The following is a 19,014-nucleotide window of genomic DNA, read 5'->3' as shown; positions in this document are numbered from 1 at the left end:
TGTAAGTCCCTTTCCAGATACATGATTTGCAATATTTTCTTGCGTTTTCTCCCATTTTATGGGTTGTCCTTTTACTTTCTTGAATGGTGTCCTTTATCTACTTAGAATTTTTTTTTCAAAGACTTGTCAAGTGCAATAGGGAGGATATTTAGAGTTAATTTTTCTGTATGATGTGAGGTAGGAGTTCAGTTTCATTCTATTGCATGTGGCTATCCAGTTCTAGCATCATTTGATGAAAGGACTGTCCTTTCCTCCATTGAATGGTAGAAACCATTTCAACACTCTTGTTGAAAATCAGTTGATCATAAAAGTGTAGGTTATTGTTTTCTTAACCGTTTTTCTGTATTGGACATTTAGGTTGCTCCCAGATTTTTGTTATTCTAAATTATCCTGTGTTAAACATGGTATAAAAGGCATAAAACCTTTTCTCTATTTAGTTATTTTGGTAGAAAGTTTTCTCAGAAGTGGAATTACTGGTTAGAAGATGAATTTAAGTATGTCCTGGAGTTCATTTAATGAGGCATTAAACCTTCAATATCACGATGTTAAAAGCAACAACACAAGGCTGGGTGTGGTGGCTCACGCCTGTAATCCCAGCACTTTGGGAGGCCCAGGCAGGCGGATCATTTGAGGTCAGGAGTTCAAGACCAGCCTGACCAACATAGTGAAACCCCGTCTCTACTAAAAATACAAAAAAAAAAAAAAAAAAATTAGCCCGGCATGGTGGCCTGCGCCTGTAATTCCAGCTACTCAGGAGGCTGAGACACAAGAATCGCTTGAACCTGGGAGGCAGAGATTGCAGTGAGTTCAGATCATGCCACTGCACTCCAGCCTGGGTGACAGAGTGAGACTCTGTCTCAAAAAAAAAAAAAAAAAAAAAAAGCAACAACACAATTATTTATTCATGAGTTGTAATAGCTTAAGGGCTGGATTTCTATCAAAGCCCTTTGCTGTAAGATGGATGAATTCCATGACTTACTTCCTTTTTCAACTGCTTCTTAAAGAATAAGCAAACCTACGGTGAAAAACTTTAACACCACAGCAACAGGACGTGGTAGTTTTCAAAGTGGTGTAAGAAAAAAAAACAGTGTCATCACATACAGTAGGAAAATAAAACCATCTTTTAGAGAGATGAGGCAAGATTTAGACCTTAAATTAGTGCCATGAAAGTCCCTGCAGAGCGTGTTTTGGTTAGGCCAAGAGTGAGGTGGACCTAGATTGAGCTATCCATAAAACTTGTGGCTATAGGTAAGACAGAAGATAAAGTTAGGAATCATCTGATTTGCTGAGAGGATAGTTTTGAAAGGTTGGCAGTAGATGAAGTTGCTGAAGGTTGGCCGGGAGTGGTGGCTTACACCTGTAATCTCAGCAGTCTGGGAGGCTGAGGTGGGTGGATCACCTGAGGTCAGGAGTTCGAGACCAGCTTGGCCAACATAGTGAATTCCTGTCTCTACTAAAAATACAAAAATTAGCCAGGCATGGGGGTGCGTGCCTTTAGTCCTGGCCACTCAGGAGGCTGAGGCAGGAGAATTGTTTGAACCCGGGAGGCAGAGGTTGCAGTGAGTTGAGGTTGCGCCACTGCACTCCAGCCTAGGCAACAGAGCGAGACTGTGTCTCAAAAAAAAAAAAAAAAAAGAAATTGCTGAAGGAAACATTTGCAGTTGGGGTCAGAGGTGAGTTATGAAGAACTAGGGTAGTAGATTTGTGTGTTGCCAAGGAAAGCAGGTGATCAAGAGAATCAAAGGTTGTAAGCAGAAGATTAAGAAAATGCCATTGGGTTAAGTAACTTGGGAAAGATACAATTTATGGGGAGCAAGACTTTTTTTTCTTTTTTTTCGAACAGCTTAATAAGATCAGTTTACCCATTTAAAATGTACCCAGTGTATCAATTTACCCATTCAAAGTGTACAATTCAGTGGTATTTAGTGTATTCACAGAGTTGTGCAACCATTACCAAATTCAATTTTAGAACTTTTTTTTATTTTTATTTTTTTGAGATGGAGTTTTGCTCTTGTTGCCCAGGCTGGAGTGCGATGGCGCGGTCTCTGCTCACTGCAACCTCTGCTTCCTGGGTTCAAGCGATTCTCCTGCCTCAGCCTTCCGAGTAGCTGGGATTACAGGCATGCGCCACCACGCCTAGCTATTTTTGTATTTTTAGTAGAGACGGGGTTTCTCCTTGTTGGTCAGGCTGGTCTTGAACTCCCGACCTCAGGTGATTGGCCTGCCTCGGCCTCCCAAAGTGCTGGGATTACAGGTGTGAGCCACTGAGCCCAGGCTTTTTTTTTTTTTTTTTTGGACGGAGTTTCCCTCTTTTGCCCAGGCTGAGGTGCAGTGGCGCAATCTTGACTCACTGCAACCTTTGCCTCCCTGGTTCAAGCGATTCTCCTGTCTCAACCTCCCGAGTAGCTGGGATTACAGGCGCTCGCCACCGCACCCAGCTAATTTTTGTATTTTTAGTAGAGACGGGATTTCGCCATGTTGGCCAGGCTTGTCTCAAACTTCTGACCTCAGGTGATCCACCCGCCTTGACCTCCCAAAGTGCTAGGATTACAAGCGTGACCCACCACACCTGGTCCTAGAACATTTTTATCAGCACAAAAAGAAAGTGCTCCCAGTAGCAGTCCCTCTCCATCACCCTACCTTCCATCCCTCCAGCTCTAAGCAATCACAGATCTACCGTCTGTCTCTTTAGATTTGCTTATTCTGGACATTTCATATAAATGGAATCATATAATATGTGGCCATTTGTGTCTGTTTTTTTCATTGTTTCAATATTCTTTAATGACATAGTATGTGTCAGCACTGCATTCCTTTTTATGGTTGAATAATGTTCCATTGTGTGACTATACCACATTTTGTTTATTCATCATCAGTTGATGGACCTTTGGGTTGTTTTTGGATGCTGTGAATAATATTGCTATGAATATCCATGTATAAGTTTTTGTGTAGCATATGTTTTTAGTTCTCTTGGGTATATACCTAGAAATGGAATTCTTGGGTCATAGCATAACTCTGTTTAACTTTTTGAGCAACAGTTGCAGAGGATAGACAAGTTGCCAGTGTTATTTAGAAATAATCATGATGAATTTTAATATCATTACTAGGAGGAAATTGCAAAATGTCTGTGTTCAAACATTTTTGTCAGAAATAAAGCCATTATTAAAGTGATTGATAGAAGTTTTTTTTTTTTTTGGTCTAAACCTGTTACGTGCCTATGTTTCTCCTTTCATTGGAAATCTTTTGTGTTGAGTGTTACCTCAAAGGTTAGCTGAAGTATTAGACATTTTTCTTGTGGATCTATGTATTGACTTAAGTACACTTAGCCAGTTTCACATAATGATTTGTAACAATGATTACATATATGATAAAAACATCACAGATATTTGATGATAAGCTACATTCATGATTTATTTTTCTCCCTCATCTTAACTGTAAAGACCAAATACTATGATTTCCTTCCCCCTCAATTTGGATTCCCTGTAGCTTATGCATCCCAGAAGTTCAATACTCAGAGAAACATGCTTGCCCTATTTTGGTTCTTTGGCTTAGCTCATTACCTAGTATTCCCGTAAATGAATAAATTAATAAAAATTTTTTTATAAATAATTCATTCAGATGGTTCAAATTCGAAAGTTTCAAGGGGGTGAACAGTGAAATTTCTATCCCATCTTTTGTTATTAGTTATCCAAATCTCCTTTGGTAATCAGTATTGTATGACTTTTTTGTTTATCTGTCCAGATTTATACTTTGCATATGGTACTGCAAATACTTCTGTACCATACCTTAAAAAATTAGTTATTTCCATTCCTTTTTTACTTAGCAAATATGTTTGAGACTGTTACATATATGTTTATCAAGTTTTCTCATTGTTTCCAATGGCTGCTTTTATTTTTAACCACTTCCATCAAGACATTTTTCGGGCTATATCTTAATTTTGATTGATTTTGCCAAATTGCTGTTGTTGAGTCGTACCAATTTATACTGCCGCTAGCAACTTAGCTCCGGTTTTTCTGTACTCTCAAAATATGTTATTTTTTGATAATTGTCAATCTAAGTTAAAAAATGGTATTTAAGTGTAATTTTATTTTGCATCTTTCGAGTGAGATTTAGAATTTTTTGTCTGGTTAAGCTATTATGTAATTTTTCTGCAAACTGAGATTTGTCTATTTGCCCTTTTTTTGTTTTTGTCTTTTGTTGGCACTCTTTATTTATTAGATGTCAGACCTTTAATGAGTTCTGAGTTAAACAAAAACTGATGTTGGAGTAGAAGTTGCTTCATTTCTAACTGAATAAAAAATATTTCAGTAACCATTGGGAGTTGGAGGATAGAGTCATGTATTGATAGTTAATTTAGTTGAGTTCCTTTCCCAGTCCAGTGGAACTTTAGGGCCAGGATTTTTGGAGGGGTTTGTTGAGATTATATGGTTTGCTAAATAAATATATTTCAGATAGTCTCTGAGGGAGAGTAGATTGCTCAAGAAATGGAATATTAATCACCTTCCACATTTCTTTTTAGACAACGTTGAGAAGCAATGCTTTAAAATCTCTCATATATATTAAGATGCCTGTTACATCAAACCATATAAAATGTTGATGTTATAATTATGTTTGTATTTTCTTTTCTTTTCTTTTTTTCTTTTTTCTTTTTTTTTTTTTTTGAGATGGAGTCTTGCTCTGTAGCCCAGGCCGGAGTGCAGTGGCGTGATCTCTGCTCACTGCAACCTCGCCTCCCGGGTCCCAGTTCAAGCAATTCTCCTGCCTCAGCCTCTCGACTAGCTGGGATTACAGGAACGCGCCACCATGCCCAGCTTTTTGTATTTTTAGTGGAGACGGGGTTTTACCATGTTGGCCAGGCTGGTCTTGAACTCCTGACCTTGTGATCTGCCTGCCTCGGCCTCCCAAAGTGCTGGGATTACAGGCGTGAGTCACTGTGCCCGGCCAAAAAATAAGGAAATCTGTACTTTTTTTTTTGAGACGAAGTCTTGCTCCGTCGCCCAGGCTGGAGTGCAGTGGCGCGATCGCAGCTCAAGGCAACCTCCACCTCCTGGGTTCAAGGAATTCTCTGCCTCAGCCTCCCAAGTAGCTGGGATTACAGGCACCCACCACCATGCCTGGCTAATTAATAGAGACAGGGTTTCACCATGTTGGCCAGGCTGGTCTTGAACTCCTGACCTTGTGATCCACCCGCCTTGGCCTCCCGAAGTGCTAGATTACAGGCGTGAGCCACCGCGCCTGGCCAGTATTTTCTTACAAAATATAAATATTATAATTTCTTAGTTATGAAAAAATATCTCAGATGACAGTGATTCAAAGTTGCTTGAGGTTTCATAGTCCATACTGCTTAGATGTGTTTTCGTTTTAGCTGAAGCTCGTAATTTTCCAAAGCCTGAGTTTTCAATCTATGTTTATGCTTCTAGACTAATGGTCCCAAGCTCATTTCATGGCTGGGCCAAATATCATGGCATGATACAGACATGATGGCATTATAGGCTGACAGATGAACCACTAAATCAACTTTGTCAAGTCATACATGGCTAAATGATAGCCTATTTCAGAGAAATATTGTGAGAAATAACCAAAAGAAAATAAAGGTAATTGAGGCAGATTCTTGTGAAATCTTTGGAAGAAAAACATGGTTAGGAAGACAAAACACACCACCACAAAACAAAAACAAAACCAGGCATTTAAATTTACTGTTACTCAATTAAAAATCAGCACTTTTGTAGTAAAAATTTTTTCCTGCATTTGTGAATCTGTATAAATATTTGAATGCAACGATGTGTATATATAATTGATTTTAAATGATTTGTCTTATAAATAAAATGTTATATAATAAAAATTAAATAGACTCTTAAACCAAGAATTAAGGGAATTTAAAAATGCCAGATAACAGTGCTTGTCAGACTATCTCTGTTATAAAAGACCAGCTTTCAAAAATTTTCAATCCATTGTGGGTCAATACTTATGTAAAATACAAATAAAAAACTCCCCAAATACCACCCAAAACCAAACATTCAAACAAATTTGAAACTTAAAAATAAAAGCTCAAATTTTTGCTTGATTTAGCAGATAAAATTGTTTTAAAAAATAACATGAGGAACTAGAAAAGAATTGTGAAAACTACACATATTGATTATTGAAAATGTGCTTATAAAGCAACTAACATGAATAAAATAATACTCTCTTGTGGGCTGGTAATAAACACTGGGATGTAGAGTGTGTTCTGAGTAACCTGCTTTTTTTTATTTTGGAATAGGCAGCTAAGTAACTTCTTTATGTTTCTTTTCTTTTCTTTTTTCTTTTTGAGACTCCTTTTTTTTTTTTTTTTTTTTTTTGAGACAGAGCTTACTTTGTTGCCCAGGCTGGAGTGTAGTGGTGCGATCTCGGCTCACTGCAACTTCTGCCTCCTGAGTTCAGTGATTCTTCTGCCTCAGCCTCCTGCGTAGCTGGGATTACAGGTGTGTGCCACCACACCAGCTAAATTTTTTGTATTTTTAGTAGAGATGAGGTTTCACCATGTTGGTCAGGCTGGTCTCGAACTCCTGACCTCAGGTGATCCACCCGCCTCAGCCTCCCAAAGTGCTGGGATTACAGGTGTAAGCCACTGCGCTCGCCCCTAAGCAGGTACTATCAGTGGACAGAGAGATTTAAATTCTAACCTTTTTATATTACCCAATTAAATAATTTTATCCGACTTCAATGGGAATAAGAAAAAATAATTTTAATAAATAGCTTTGATACCTTTTTTGTATTGCTCAATTAAATAACTTAAAAATAGGATTTTTGAACATTATCTTTGCATGAATTTGTGTAAGTAACTTATGTGTTGGTGGAAAGAAATGTATACCATCTTTGCCTGTTTTCCTTTAGGGTAATTCCTCTCCTGCAATTACTTTTGGATGGAAGTATGCCCCTTTCTCAGTAGAAGATGGTAATCTTGGAGAATGACCATGGAGAAGGGGATGAGTTCTGGAGAAGGGCTGCCTTCCAGATCATCTCAGGTTTCGGCTGGTAAAATAACAGCCAAAGAGTTGGAAACAAAGCAGTCCTATAAAGAGAAACGAGGAGGCTTTGTGTTGGTGCATGCAGGTAAGCTTTGTGGATGGCTTGGAAGATGCCAATAATGTTGATTTTTCTTTTTCTGCCTTGAAGTACACTGAGAATCACATTTCACACTTGGAGGAGGCAAAACTGCCAGAGAGGAATTGGAAGCAAAGCGATTGTTTGACTTGGATATAGTGAGGACCTCCCTCTTTACTCCCCAGTTAGAAGATCTTAGAATGGCAGCTCTTCCTAGGTTTTCACTTCCCTAACCTATTATTTACTTTAACTCTATGTAATAGATGTATTTAGGTTAGGTAGTATTAAAACCAGACAAAGTAATTTTTGAACTCTGGTTTATGTTTTTTAAAAATAATGTTGCTGTGGGAGGCTGAGGCAGGAGAATTGCTTGAACCCAGGAGGTGGAGGTTGCAGTGAGCCGACATCATGCCACTGCGCTCCAGCCTGGGCAACAAACCGAGACACCATCTCAATAAAATAAAATAAAATATTGCTGAAAAAATTGTATTGATTCCCATGTGAGACTGTGGGTATCTTAGGGCATAATTATTACACAATCTTTGAGCTGGTTCACCTTCTTTTTTTTTTTTTTTTTTGAGATGGAGTTTTACTCTTGTCGCCCAGGTTGGAATGCAATGGTGTGATCTTGGCTCACTGCAGCCTCCACCTCCCAAGTTCAAGCAATTCACCTGCCTCAGCCTCTTGAGTAGCTGGGATTACAGACGTCCACCATCACGTCTGGCTAATTTTTGTATTTTTAGTAGATGGGGTTTCACCATATTGGCCAGGTGGGTCTCAAACTCCTGACCTCGGGTGATCCACCTGCCTTGGCCTCCCAAAGTGCTGGGATTACAGGCGTAAGCCACCACACCCGGCCCACCCTCTTAATATTTTAAGTGAGGAACCTTAAGACCAGAGAGATTAAGTGACTTAAGAGACTTCAGACACTGGTGGTTGGTGCTAGAGCCAGTGTAAGAAACACCTAAGTAGGCCCTTATGTCTCAGTCTAGTGCTTTTGATGCTGTGTCAGCCTGTGATCTTTCTACTTCAGAGGACCATGAGGACAGACACAGTGGAGTTCATCCCCTGGGCCTCCCATCTTTAAAAGGTCTTGGGTTGCAGAACAGTGCTGCTCTGCCCAGGTTTCCTCAGCAGGCTCTTTTTCCTTTGGCCATTTTTATTTTCTTGTATTCAGAGTCTACTTTCCATGACCTCCATGAAGAGAGAAAGAATGTCTGGGTTTCCTTTTAACTTTCCCTGGGTAGTCAAGCAAGATGACAGCAGGATTAACTTTGATATGGAATGAGGAGTAGAAATGTTTCTTCTTGTGAGACTGGTGTCCTGCCTGGCCATTAACGTTTGGCCATATCTAGACTGGACAACCCGAGAAGCCTTATGTGAATCTAATCCAGAGTATCTAAACAAATCCAAAAAACCAGAAACCAGGTTTAATCCCATTTTCTCACAGGTGCTTTTACAAGGAGGTGAGGTAAATTTACAGAAATAATCCAGTTAAAAGTAGACCTGGGACTAGAGCTTCTGCCTTCAGACTCCTAGTCTGTGTTCTTTCCACTACACTATGTTGATGGTACATCTTCCATTATCTTCCATGATACCAGTGAGTTACCGTATTCAGAGTGAGTGTTTGGAAAGTGTAAAAGAAAGGTCTGAAAGTTGTAACAAGCAATAACATAAAGCTTCAATTAGTTGGAAAGCCTTACTTTCTATAACTATTATGACCCTGTCCCTCCTGTCTTAGACACAGACTAGATGATAATGGCTCTGCCAACCTTAAATAATGGAATTCAGAAGCTATGATTAAAGGTAGAGCTTATTCATGCACAAAGCTTGAGGATGTCCACCTGGGAAACACTGACTCCAAACAAATGGGGTCTGTGTTCCAAAGTGGAGAAGTTAAGTTTTCATTTATGTAGGTAGAGATAGAAAAATTTTAGCAGGATGGTAACATTTTCCGTAGGAGACCAGTGCATAAGTTACAGCAATTTGATTGGTTATAGATTGCTACATCCTAAGGAAGATTACTTTTTACTTTGTGAGAAGGGGCAGTGATCTGAGAGGGTCTTATCTCTGGTGTTGTTTGGTCTTCCTAATTATTTACAGGAAAAAGGCAAAAGTTGCAGCTGCATGTTGTGTGACTCAGGGTGCATAGCCACATTCCTTTCAAGGCTCAGAATGATTTAATGGCTCAACTTTTTTTTTTTTTTTTAAGACTAAGTTTCGCTCTTGTTGCCCAGGCTGCAGTGGTGTGATCTTGGCTCACTCTGCAAGCTTCACAATTCTCCTGCCTCAGCCTCCTGAGTAACTGGGATTACAGGCACGTGCCACCATGCCCGGCTAATTTTTGTATGTTTAGTAGAAATGGGGTTTCACCATGTTGGCCAGGCTGCTCTCAAACTCCTGACTCAGGTGATCCACCCGCCTCGGCCTCCCAAAGTGTTGGGATTACAGGCATGAGCCACCGTGCCCAGCTGGTTCAACAGTTTTAACTTTGAATTATTTAATTTCATACTCTCAGGTAAAGGTTGGTGCTGGGGGTCAGCAAGAAGAGTAGGAACTCTGAGTTATGATAGGATATTGTGTGAATTAAGGGTGACCCTCACTTCTAAATTATTAGAAAGAGTGATTGATTATGCAAAAGCGTGTATCTTGCACATTTAAGGGTCAAAAATTCATATCCTTGTCCAGTGTAGAGCAGTTTTTTTAGCACTAGAGTAGACTTGCCCAAACTTTTGTGATTCATGTAGTAGATTCTTGATTTTTCCCACTGCCTATACTGTTTTATCTAATATTCAAACAACTAAACGCTTTTTAATCTTAACATTTGAAAAATGAAGTTTATGGTTACTTAAATGAAATAGCAGTATCACTTGCCATAAAGAGAAAATAACTTTAAACACAGTGCAAACAAAACACTGTAATTGAAGTTTAACTAGATCCTATTTGTCAGTGGCTTGGATCCTGAGCCTGCCTTTCCATTGTTAAACAGGGAAATTAGCAAGTGTTAACCAGGAATTAAAGATGTACGGGGTGGGGGGGGGGCTCTGCTGAGACTTTTATTATTTCAAAAGGATTTACATGTTAAGGCTATTAAATGCCCTTGTCCCTTACACTGAAGTCATCTTTTTGGAATAGTATCCCATGCTTTAGGAAATGCTGCTGAAAGATTGTGGCCTCTGAGATCTAAGACAGCCAACTTGAGATCACCTGTTCTTAGAGAACCATGAAGAGAGGCCTATTAAATATTGGCACAGGCTCTGTGAATGTTCAGAGTTCTCTTGAGAAACAGGTTTAGGATTTGGGTGTATTGTGGATTCTGGTGGCTTGGGCATCTCTGCTTTCCTGGCTCCTTGTACGACAGTTTCGTGGGTGAGTGCTTTCTCTACCTTGAGGAAAGGTAGGTTAGGTTTGTGTCAGAGTCTGCAGACCTGTAGGAATCCTAAGGCCTAGAGATGTAGCTTTTCTGTTTTTGTCTTTTTTAAAATGGAAAACATGTGTTTGTTTGTTTGTTTTTTGGAGTCAAAGTCTCACTCTGTTGCGTAGGCTGGAGTGCAGTGGCATGATCTTGGTTCACTGCAACCTCTGCCTCCCAGGTTCAAGCTATTCCCGTGCCCCAGCCCCCTGAGTAGCTGGGATTACAGGCATGTGCCACCATGCTTGGCTACTTTTTTTGTATTTTTAGGAGAGATGGGGTTTCTCCATGTTGGCCAGGCTGGTCTCAAACACCTGGCCTCAAGTGATCCTCCCGCCTCAGCCTCCCAAAGTGCTGGGATTGCAGGCATGAGCCACTGTGTTTGGCCTAGAGGTGTATTTCTTAACCTTCCATACATTGGACCCCTATGGGGCTTTAGGGGTGGGTAGGGATAGGTGGTTCAGTGCTCCATTAATGAACTTTGATTAGAGAGAGGCCTAATTAAGAGAGTTTAAGGGCTCTTGTCTTTGTTTCCTTCTTGTTTAGATTATTCTTAAGTCCCTAACTAAGCAAGTTATGTATCCTTGTAGGGAAACCATTTTATTCAGAGCCATTCTCTTGAGACAGTTCTTGGGTATTTGATTAAAAGACAGAGACCACCAGGAATTCTCATAGAGAGTCATGAATGTGCTGTCACTTAGCTTTCAGAGACACCCTGAGCTACATTCTAGTGGGTGAGAGGATGTGAAGTGTTTGTTTAGGAATGGTGCAATTGGTGGTGGTTGTGGACATGCGAGATGTAAGACACCTCAACTTCAAATGTTATTCAGAAGCGATTCAGCTTTCTGAATTACTCTTATGAATTCTGGATTTGAAACAGTAACTTCCCAAATGGCAGGGGCTTTCTGACAGTCAGCAGAGAGGAACCCGGAGGGACCCTGTCCCCGACACCTTCTGGGTTATTAGCTGCAGATCAAAAGAACTCCTGATTTTGGAAAGAGGTTCTTGAAAAGAAGAGGGGAGGGGACCTTGGTGAAGCCTCTTTGGGGACATGAGCTATTTTTAGGGCTTTTGGCAGGAAAAGAGCTTTTGAAAACGGAGATAAGGCATGGTATTAAAAAGGCTTACACTGGAGTAAGAAGTCATAAAACGCCATACAGTTAGGGCAATAGTTTTGTTTTTTACTAGGACAGCATCAGTTTATATGGAGTATTTATATAACATAAGCAAGGTCTCTTGATATTTTAATAATTAACTGGATTTTATTTTCTACTTTAGGTGCAGGTTATCATTCTGAATCCAAAGCCAAGGAGTATAAACATGTATGCAAACGAGCTTGTCAGAAGGTATGAACACAATGTGTATGATCTGTGCATTGCAGTTTTGAACAGAAAGCAGTTTTACCTTGAAATTCAACATTTAAAAGTTTCATTTCTAGGACAGTCTTCCAGTTTGGACTACAAAATTATTTTGCTTGTTTTTGTAGGGGATCGTTTTGTGTTGTTTTGTGTTTTTCTCCACATGTTGCTTAGCTCTTTCCCCACTTTCCCAGATTAAAGTCTGTATTTTTGTAATTGTGGGCACACAATCATATCTCTTTTAATCTTTGCAACGATGTTGAACTTCTGTAGACAGAAGGATAGAGAAAACAGCTTAAAGGCAGTCAATGTGTTTTTCCATGAAGGGAAAAAAATAAATAAAAAAATTAAAATGGGTACTTTCCTATACTTTTTCATTCTGTTTTTCATCATGTAGTTTGTATCATAGCAAGTTCATTGTCATTCCAGAGTTCAGTTTTGCCCTTGTACTCAGTTGTGCTTTTTTCCCATTGGTTTTTGAGGTTTTGCTAAATTGTTGAATATTTAATGTGGGGACAGGAATGGACTCAGAAGAAATGTTTGTTTTTATTTTGATTCTTACTAGTCTTGTAGGCAAACCTTCCATTACTTTTTATGCAAATAGAATCTAGTTGAATATTATATATCAAGTAAATATGCGTCTCTCTCTCTCTGCTCTTTTCATTGATATTTACGTAACATTAAAAAGAAGATTATACTTTATCAGAGATTCAAGCTTTTTCTTATGAATGAAGTCCTATAAATAAGAATATTTTGTTACAGGGATTTTGTTCTTTTGAAATTTGTAATAATAAAGCTAAAAGTTCTCGAAGCTATTTTATATTTTTTCTTATTTTTCAAAGTGTGAAATTTTTCTGTCATCTGAAAATAAATTTTATATAACTATAGTCCTAGAAATCTAATACATTTGAATCGTATACTTAGCCTCTTTAATATTTACAATGAATAAACTTCTTAAAAGTTTAATTAGGAATACAGTTCTTAGTTTTTGAGTTTTCTCTTTGTTGACTAAATTGGAATGTTAATAATTCATTTATAAATGACTTTTCCTTCTCTCTCTTTTCCTCTCCTAATTTATGCTCAAGGCCAGGTGATTTTATAGACCTTTAGTCTGTGTAGTTTATATTACAAAATAATATGATACATCTTGATTTAGAATTTACATTATAGTATCCAAAATGTTTTTGTCAAATGTATGCTTTTATCCTCAGATTCTGGCATGCCCCTGTGACTGAGAGTCACTTCTTTTTAAGTATGGAGAGTATTAACAGTGGGAGGAGAAATGATTAGTTTGAGATTTAGTGTTCTGTATAAAATATGAATTGTCAGGATATTTGAACCAAACTGGGTCATACAATTTCTGTGGCTATTTTGAATTGCCTTACAATGAATGAAGCTTACTAAATTCCTTGTACTTTTCATTTAATAACTAGATTTTATTGTTTTAATTTGAATAATATTAAGTGAGCCATATTACCAATTAACCTGAATATAAACACTTGCTTGTTTTTAATCTGAGTAGTTTATGTCTTAAAGTATGGAATGGAACTAGTGGTCAATTTTTATTAATCTAAGTGTCTCCCATACTTCTTTAAGCTTTTGGAAAGTTTGAGAAGTTGTGATTTTGCAATGAATAATCTCTCCCCTTGGTTTCATAGGCAATTGAAAAGCTGCAGGCCGGTGCTCTTGCAACTGACGCAGTCACTGCAGCACTGGTGGAACTTGAGGTATTTCTTTTCTCTGTTTTATTTAAAATATTTGTGAGTTTATCTTTATTGTTCTTAAATGACATGAAATTGTTGAGTTAGTCAACCATAAATTATATGAGCAGTGTTTCCCACCAATATTAGCAAAGTTATGAAGAAGCCTATGATATTGTTGTTTTCATTGGTGACTTTTCTGAGTAATATAAAAGCTGGTTAAATTCCTTTCTTTTCTTTTTTTTTTGTGAGATTCATGAATACAAAAGTTAAGGATTGGATACTTAAGTTTCCCATTTTCAGTAGGAAAATCCTTGAAGTTAACCCCCAAAAAGTGATGTATATTCTGTTGTTTAAAAATAAAAGAAAAATTCCAACTGTCTAGAAGTGCCTAAAGTAGAAGGGGAAGATTCTTCACGAACCTAACAGTTAGATATATACCCTGAAATTGTGTGCTGTGAAGTGTGCCTTGTCCCAGTGTTATGGTTAGGTTTGTCCCCAGTTTACTGTGGACATCGAATAATTGAGTGGGGAGGCTCTCACGTTTGCCATAATTTTTTATACTCTAGAGTGAGGTTCTCTCAGTTCTCTTGATTTGGAACCTTGATGAATTTGTGCAGGGGATATTGAGGTCTTCAGAAGATCGACTTGCTGCTCAAACTTGGAGAAGATAGATTTGTGTCAATCAGTTGAGAGGATTATTGTGAAAAATATTTTTCTGGTTGAGAATACTACTTAGGGAATCAAGTAAGACATGATGACAAAAACAATGATGAGTTTGAGGGAGGAGATGATAAAGTCGACATTTCCAGGTTGACTGGGTTGTGGCCCTTGTATTTAGGCTCTCATACCAAGGCACTTACCCTTTCATGCCTTTCCTTGTGAAAATTGCCCAGGTGTTTACCATTAGTCCTAGCCGTGTTTTCTGTATATTCTCATGCTTAATTGTGGACCTGAGCTTTCTGTATATTCTCTTGCTTAATTGTGGACCTGAGCTTTTGATCATGCTTTGTAGATTTTAATTTCTCAGATTGGTCCTAATGTAGTCAAGGAAGGTGAAAGTATATGGTGGGCACCTAGTTCTATTGAATCTGACATGGGGATGTGTGATGCCCTCCTGATATGACTGATACATTTCATACCAGCTCTACCAGTCATTAGCCATGTGTCCGTGGGTGTGGCACAGTCTGTCCTTGACTCAGTTTCCCTATTTATGAGGATAGTAATTCCCACTTCATGGAGTTGTGAAGATAAACTGAGTTAGTATATGCCTAATACATGACAGTCTCTTAGAACAGTGTGTGGTACGTAGTAAGCACCCCATAACTGTTAGCAATTATTACAGTTATGAGGTGCTTTGGAAATGGTATGTATGAGATGAATATTTATGGCAACTATTAATGACAAGTTTTACAGCATCAAAGAAAGGTTAATTATATGTTGAGGATAAGAGGAGAAAAATGACATAAGAAAGAAGATAGATGTATTTACCACCAAATGTTACCTTTACTCAAAACAGACACACAAAGAGGGCTTCATCTAACTTAACTAGTTCAATTGTTAGTTGAAAATTACTTTCATGGAGTCACTGTAGGTCTGGGAAAGAAGGTTAATGAGTATCTGGAGAATATACTAGAATGGCAACTATGAATGCAAAACTGAATAAAATTAAGTTTCTCTTTTCATCTTAGAATAACTTTAATTTTCCTAAGTCATACTTATATATCATGTTTACTATTTCATTCTATTTTCCCCTAGTGTTGAATCCTACTTTTAAGGGGTTTACTTATTTATACTTAAAAATGATAAAAATACATTTTGAAATAATGAGTTTCTCCTGAGTAGGTGGACTTACAGTTTCGGATAACTTGTGTTTTTTTAAGAATGTGGATATGAATTTAAAGGAAAAAAATTTCTTGTTCTATTATTTTTGCTTGGAATAAGTCATAAGGATAATGGTAGCATAGAATTCTTCCCCAAGTGACTTTAGTACATCCCACACCTCAACTTTTAGTTATTTTATTTTTTATATATATATTTTTGAGATGGATTCTCACTCTGTAGCCCAAGCTGGAGTGCAGTGGTGCGATCTTGGCTCACTGCAACCTCTGCCTCCCAGGCTCAAGTGATTCTTGTGCCTCAGCCTCCCGTGTAGCTGGGACTACAGGCATGCACCACCACACCCGGCTAATTTTTGTATTTTTTTTTTTAAGTAGAGACAGGGTTTCACCATGTTGACCAGGGTGGTCTTGAACTCTTGAGCTCAGGTGATCCACCCACCTCGGCCTCCCAAAGTGCTGCGATTACAGGCATGAGCCACCGTGCCTGGCCTCAACTTGTAATTATTAAATTTGTGGAAGAATTTCAATTAATTATCTAACAATTAACTTTTCTATGGACTCTTTGAATGAAATATATGTTAATAGTTTAAGGTTAAGCTTACACTAATTGGAAGAATTTTCCTAAATCTTAAGAAGTATGTTGGAAATCATGCTTATACTTCCCCCTGCAGTTTCTCTCACCTTGAATAATTGTGATTCATTACCTTAAAACAGGATAGGTTTTCAGATGGAGTTCAGTTGGGGTAGTATTGTAATAGCTTGGGTCAATGGAAAGATGTAAGAAGATTGGATTCTAGTATTTGCTGTACTTAGAGAAATATAAGTAGCAGTATTGAGTCCTTTCAGAATACTGAAAAGTGCTGAGAAAAATTCTGGAGAGCTGTATTAACAATGTGTTATATTTAATTTGAGAATAAACACTTATCTTTAGTTTTGGTCAGTCTATTCAGTTAAGTCATGTCTGGATTATTGAACAGATGCAAACAGTCATTGTTCTTTTCTCTTTAGACTTTGGGATATACTTTTTGATTTAAAAAATGATGTTCTTGCCACTGAGCTTAAGGAAACAATACATAAACATATTTTAAAAACTTGCCCGTTATATTATTACTTAGGCAGATATTGAAATTGATGTGAATTCCTTAAATACTAATTGTGGATTGAAATGACTGAAATGTTCTAATGGTCTTTATTGCCTAGAAAGTGTATCTGGCTGTATATTTAAAAAATGTGATAATTTGTATTTTCCCAAATAGTGAAAAGTACACCGTTCTTAACTCCATGCATGGGGAAGAGGAAGAGACAAGGCAAAAGAAATATGTGTATATGTATGTGTGTGTGTGTGTGTGTGTGTGTGTGTGTGTGTAAATACCACAGAGACACACACACACACAGAGTAAAGGGAATTATGCAGACATATCATTTTTTAGCTTTTCTTAGAGACTGATAATTTTGTGTGGTTTTATTTTTCTTTACCACCACTGCAGACAAATGATGTCATCTTAAGACTGTCACTTCTGGACACCAGAATGAGGTGTTTTCTTCATTTAAGTAAAGGAGGGGCGGGTGCAAAAGTTCCTATCTATTAAATTGACCACCTTCTTCCTTTAGAGTTTTGGGAGGGAAGGTGGCTGCTTCTGTATGAGAGGTTTTCTGCAGTGTGGAAATGCAAATGATATTACTCCAAAATATATTTTGTTTATCTTCAAAATGCAGGGAAGAAAATGGAAAGGTCAGTTTATAGATCATATTTTAATGATTTATTGGTAAATCGATTCATTCCTGTTGTTTCATATAGCTTTTTTGAGATTATCTTAATAACTGATGAGAAAGTGAATTCTGTTCACTGGATGGTACAACTCTGGTTTCACTCACAGCAGAGAAGATTAATATTGTGAAAGAATTTGGTCTTCATATTTGGGACTATACATTTGGATGACAGTTGCTTTTTTGGCTGCCTTTGAAATAGTTTTGGATCAAGTAGTGACGTGGATTTAAGATTCTGGACCATAATTTTGCATATTTCACATGGTGTAACTTGTGATGTGAATTTCTTTTTTGAGAAAATTGGATATAGAACTGGGTGAGTCATGATGCTACCATTTTCTTAGGATTGTTTCTAAAGTAGAAAGTGTTTCATGGATTCTGATAGAAAATGAACTATTTATAAAATACTGCCTGAAGCTCATTTTGCACATTGGTGTTTTTCTTATAAAGTATGAAGACCTGGTTTAAAAAAGTCTAATGAGTAATAATAGGTGAAATATGAACGACAGACTTTTGGAAGGTAATTTATAATCTTTTGTGAGAAAACTGATGAATTTGGCAGAGGTTTTGAAGATCTTGTTGTAACCTTTGAGAAAGTTTGGTTAATTCATTCTGAAAACTGATTATTTTGGTAGGTAGAATACTGTGTATTAAGAATAGTGATAGGGGCCGGGCACGGTGGCTCATGCCTGTAATCCCAGCACTTTGGGAGGCCGAAGTGGACGGATCTTTGGGAGGCCGAAGCGGATGGATCATGAGGTCAGGAGTTCAAGACCAGCCTGGCCAATATGGTGAAACCCCGTCTCTAATAAAAATACAAAATTTAGCTGGGCATTGTGGCGCGTTCCTGTAATCCCAGCTAGTTGGGAGGCTGAGGCAGGAGAATTACTTGAACCAGGACCCAGGAGGCAGAGGTTGGCAGTGAGCCGAGACTGTGCCACTGCACTCCAGCCTGGGCTACGGAGTGAGACTCTGTCTAAAAAAAAAAAAAGAATAGTGATAGGAATAGCTTTTACATTTTATATAGTAAAAGGCAAATTATACAGGTTCCTTTGTTAAAAATCTTTTGTTGAACTTCTGTTATTAAAAATGGACTGTGAAGTTTTTTATTCACTTGATTCATGCTTTAAAGCTCCCTATGGTCAGGGGAGATGCTAATTCATGGTTAAAACTCGTTTCTTGTCCAAATGCTTTAGTGTTTATAGGGGAGATTATATTGGGCCAAGTTTTTAGTCATTCTGTTAAAAACAGTTCATTGTCTTGGATCTCTGTGTAATACAAATATTGCTTGCTTGTAAACTCTAGGGAAGTCCTTTAAGAATAACTTATTCAGGTGACTGATATTTTGGTATGTAAGAGAAAGAAAGTAGGTATTTTCATTATATATTTATATTATTATGTATAATACTGTTATACATTTGTCTGTATCTCTACATTTTTTTTGCTGTTGTTCAGACAGATTCTTGCTCTGTCGCCTAGGCTGGAGTGCAGTGGTATGATCTTGGCTCACTGCAATCTCCACCTCCCGGGTTCAAATGATTCTCATGCCTCAGCCTCCTGAGTAGTTGGGACTACAGGCGTGCGCCACCACACCTGGCTAATTTTTTTTGTGTTTTTAGTAGAGATGGGGTTTTGCCATGTTTCCCAGGCTGGTCTCGAACTCCTGGCCTCAAGTGATCCACCCGCCTCGGCCTCCCAAAGTGCTGGGATGACAGGTGTGAGCCACCGTGCCCAGCTAGCTCTTCATTTCTTTAAGGCAGGCAGGGATCTCCAGAATGGGAATGTTGGTCACACTTGAGTAGTTCATTGTGAGCGGACCCCAGCCCAGGCCTCTTGTGCAGCTGCAGGAATAGGCC

The 19,014-nt window shown here is 38.2% G+C and overlaps 1 protein-coding gene across 21 annotated transcripts in view, besides 1 other annotated feature; it reads left to right on the top strand.

Annotated features, from left to right (window-relative positions):
• TASP1 (taspase 1) overlaps positions 1-19,014 on the top strand; it is a 534,161-nt gene that overhangs the window by 1,910 nt on the left and 513,237 nt on the right. For 20 of the 21 annotated variants that reach the window (XR_001754319.3, XR_007067463.1, NR_136629.2 and 17 more), the window contains exons 2-4: positions 6,871-7,089; positions 11,771-11,838; positions 13,509-13,577. Coding sequence is in view for 12 of the 21 variants with exons in the window: in XM_047440269.1 (XP_047296225.1) it covers positions 6,945-7,089; positions 11,771-11,838; positions 13,509-13,577 (282 nt within the window). In the remaining 9 variants the exon portion in view is untranslated. Of the gene's footprint in view, positions 1-6,870; positions 7,090-11,770; positions 11,839-13,508; positions 13,578-19,014 lie in introns of those variants that run through there. The other variant, XM_047440273.1, reaches the window with a different exon arrangement.
• Positions 9,927-10,221: a silencer, noted in NCBI's record as "tiled region #9064; K562 Repressive non-DNase unmatched - State 24:Quies". NCBI's record gives its function as "represses a minimal TATA promoter and a strong SV40 promoter by Sharpr-MPRA in K562 cells {active_cell/tissue: K562}" and the evidence as "EXISTENCE:reporter gene assay evidence [ECO:0000049][PMID:27701403]".

The sequence above is a fragment of the Homo sapiens genome, chromosome 20 (genome assembly GCF_000001405.40).
Source record: "Homo sapiens chromosome 20, GRCh38.p14 Primary Assembly".
Lineage (NCBI taxonomy): Eukaryota > Metazoa > Chordata > Mammalia > Primates > Hominidae > Homo > Homo sapiens.
Note: the sequence above shows the minus strand (reverse complement) of the source record. Positions and strands in the feature narration are given on the sequence as shown.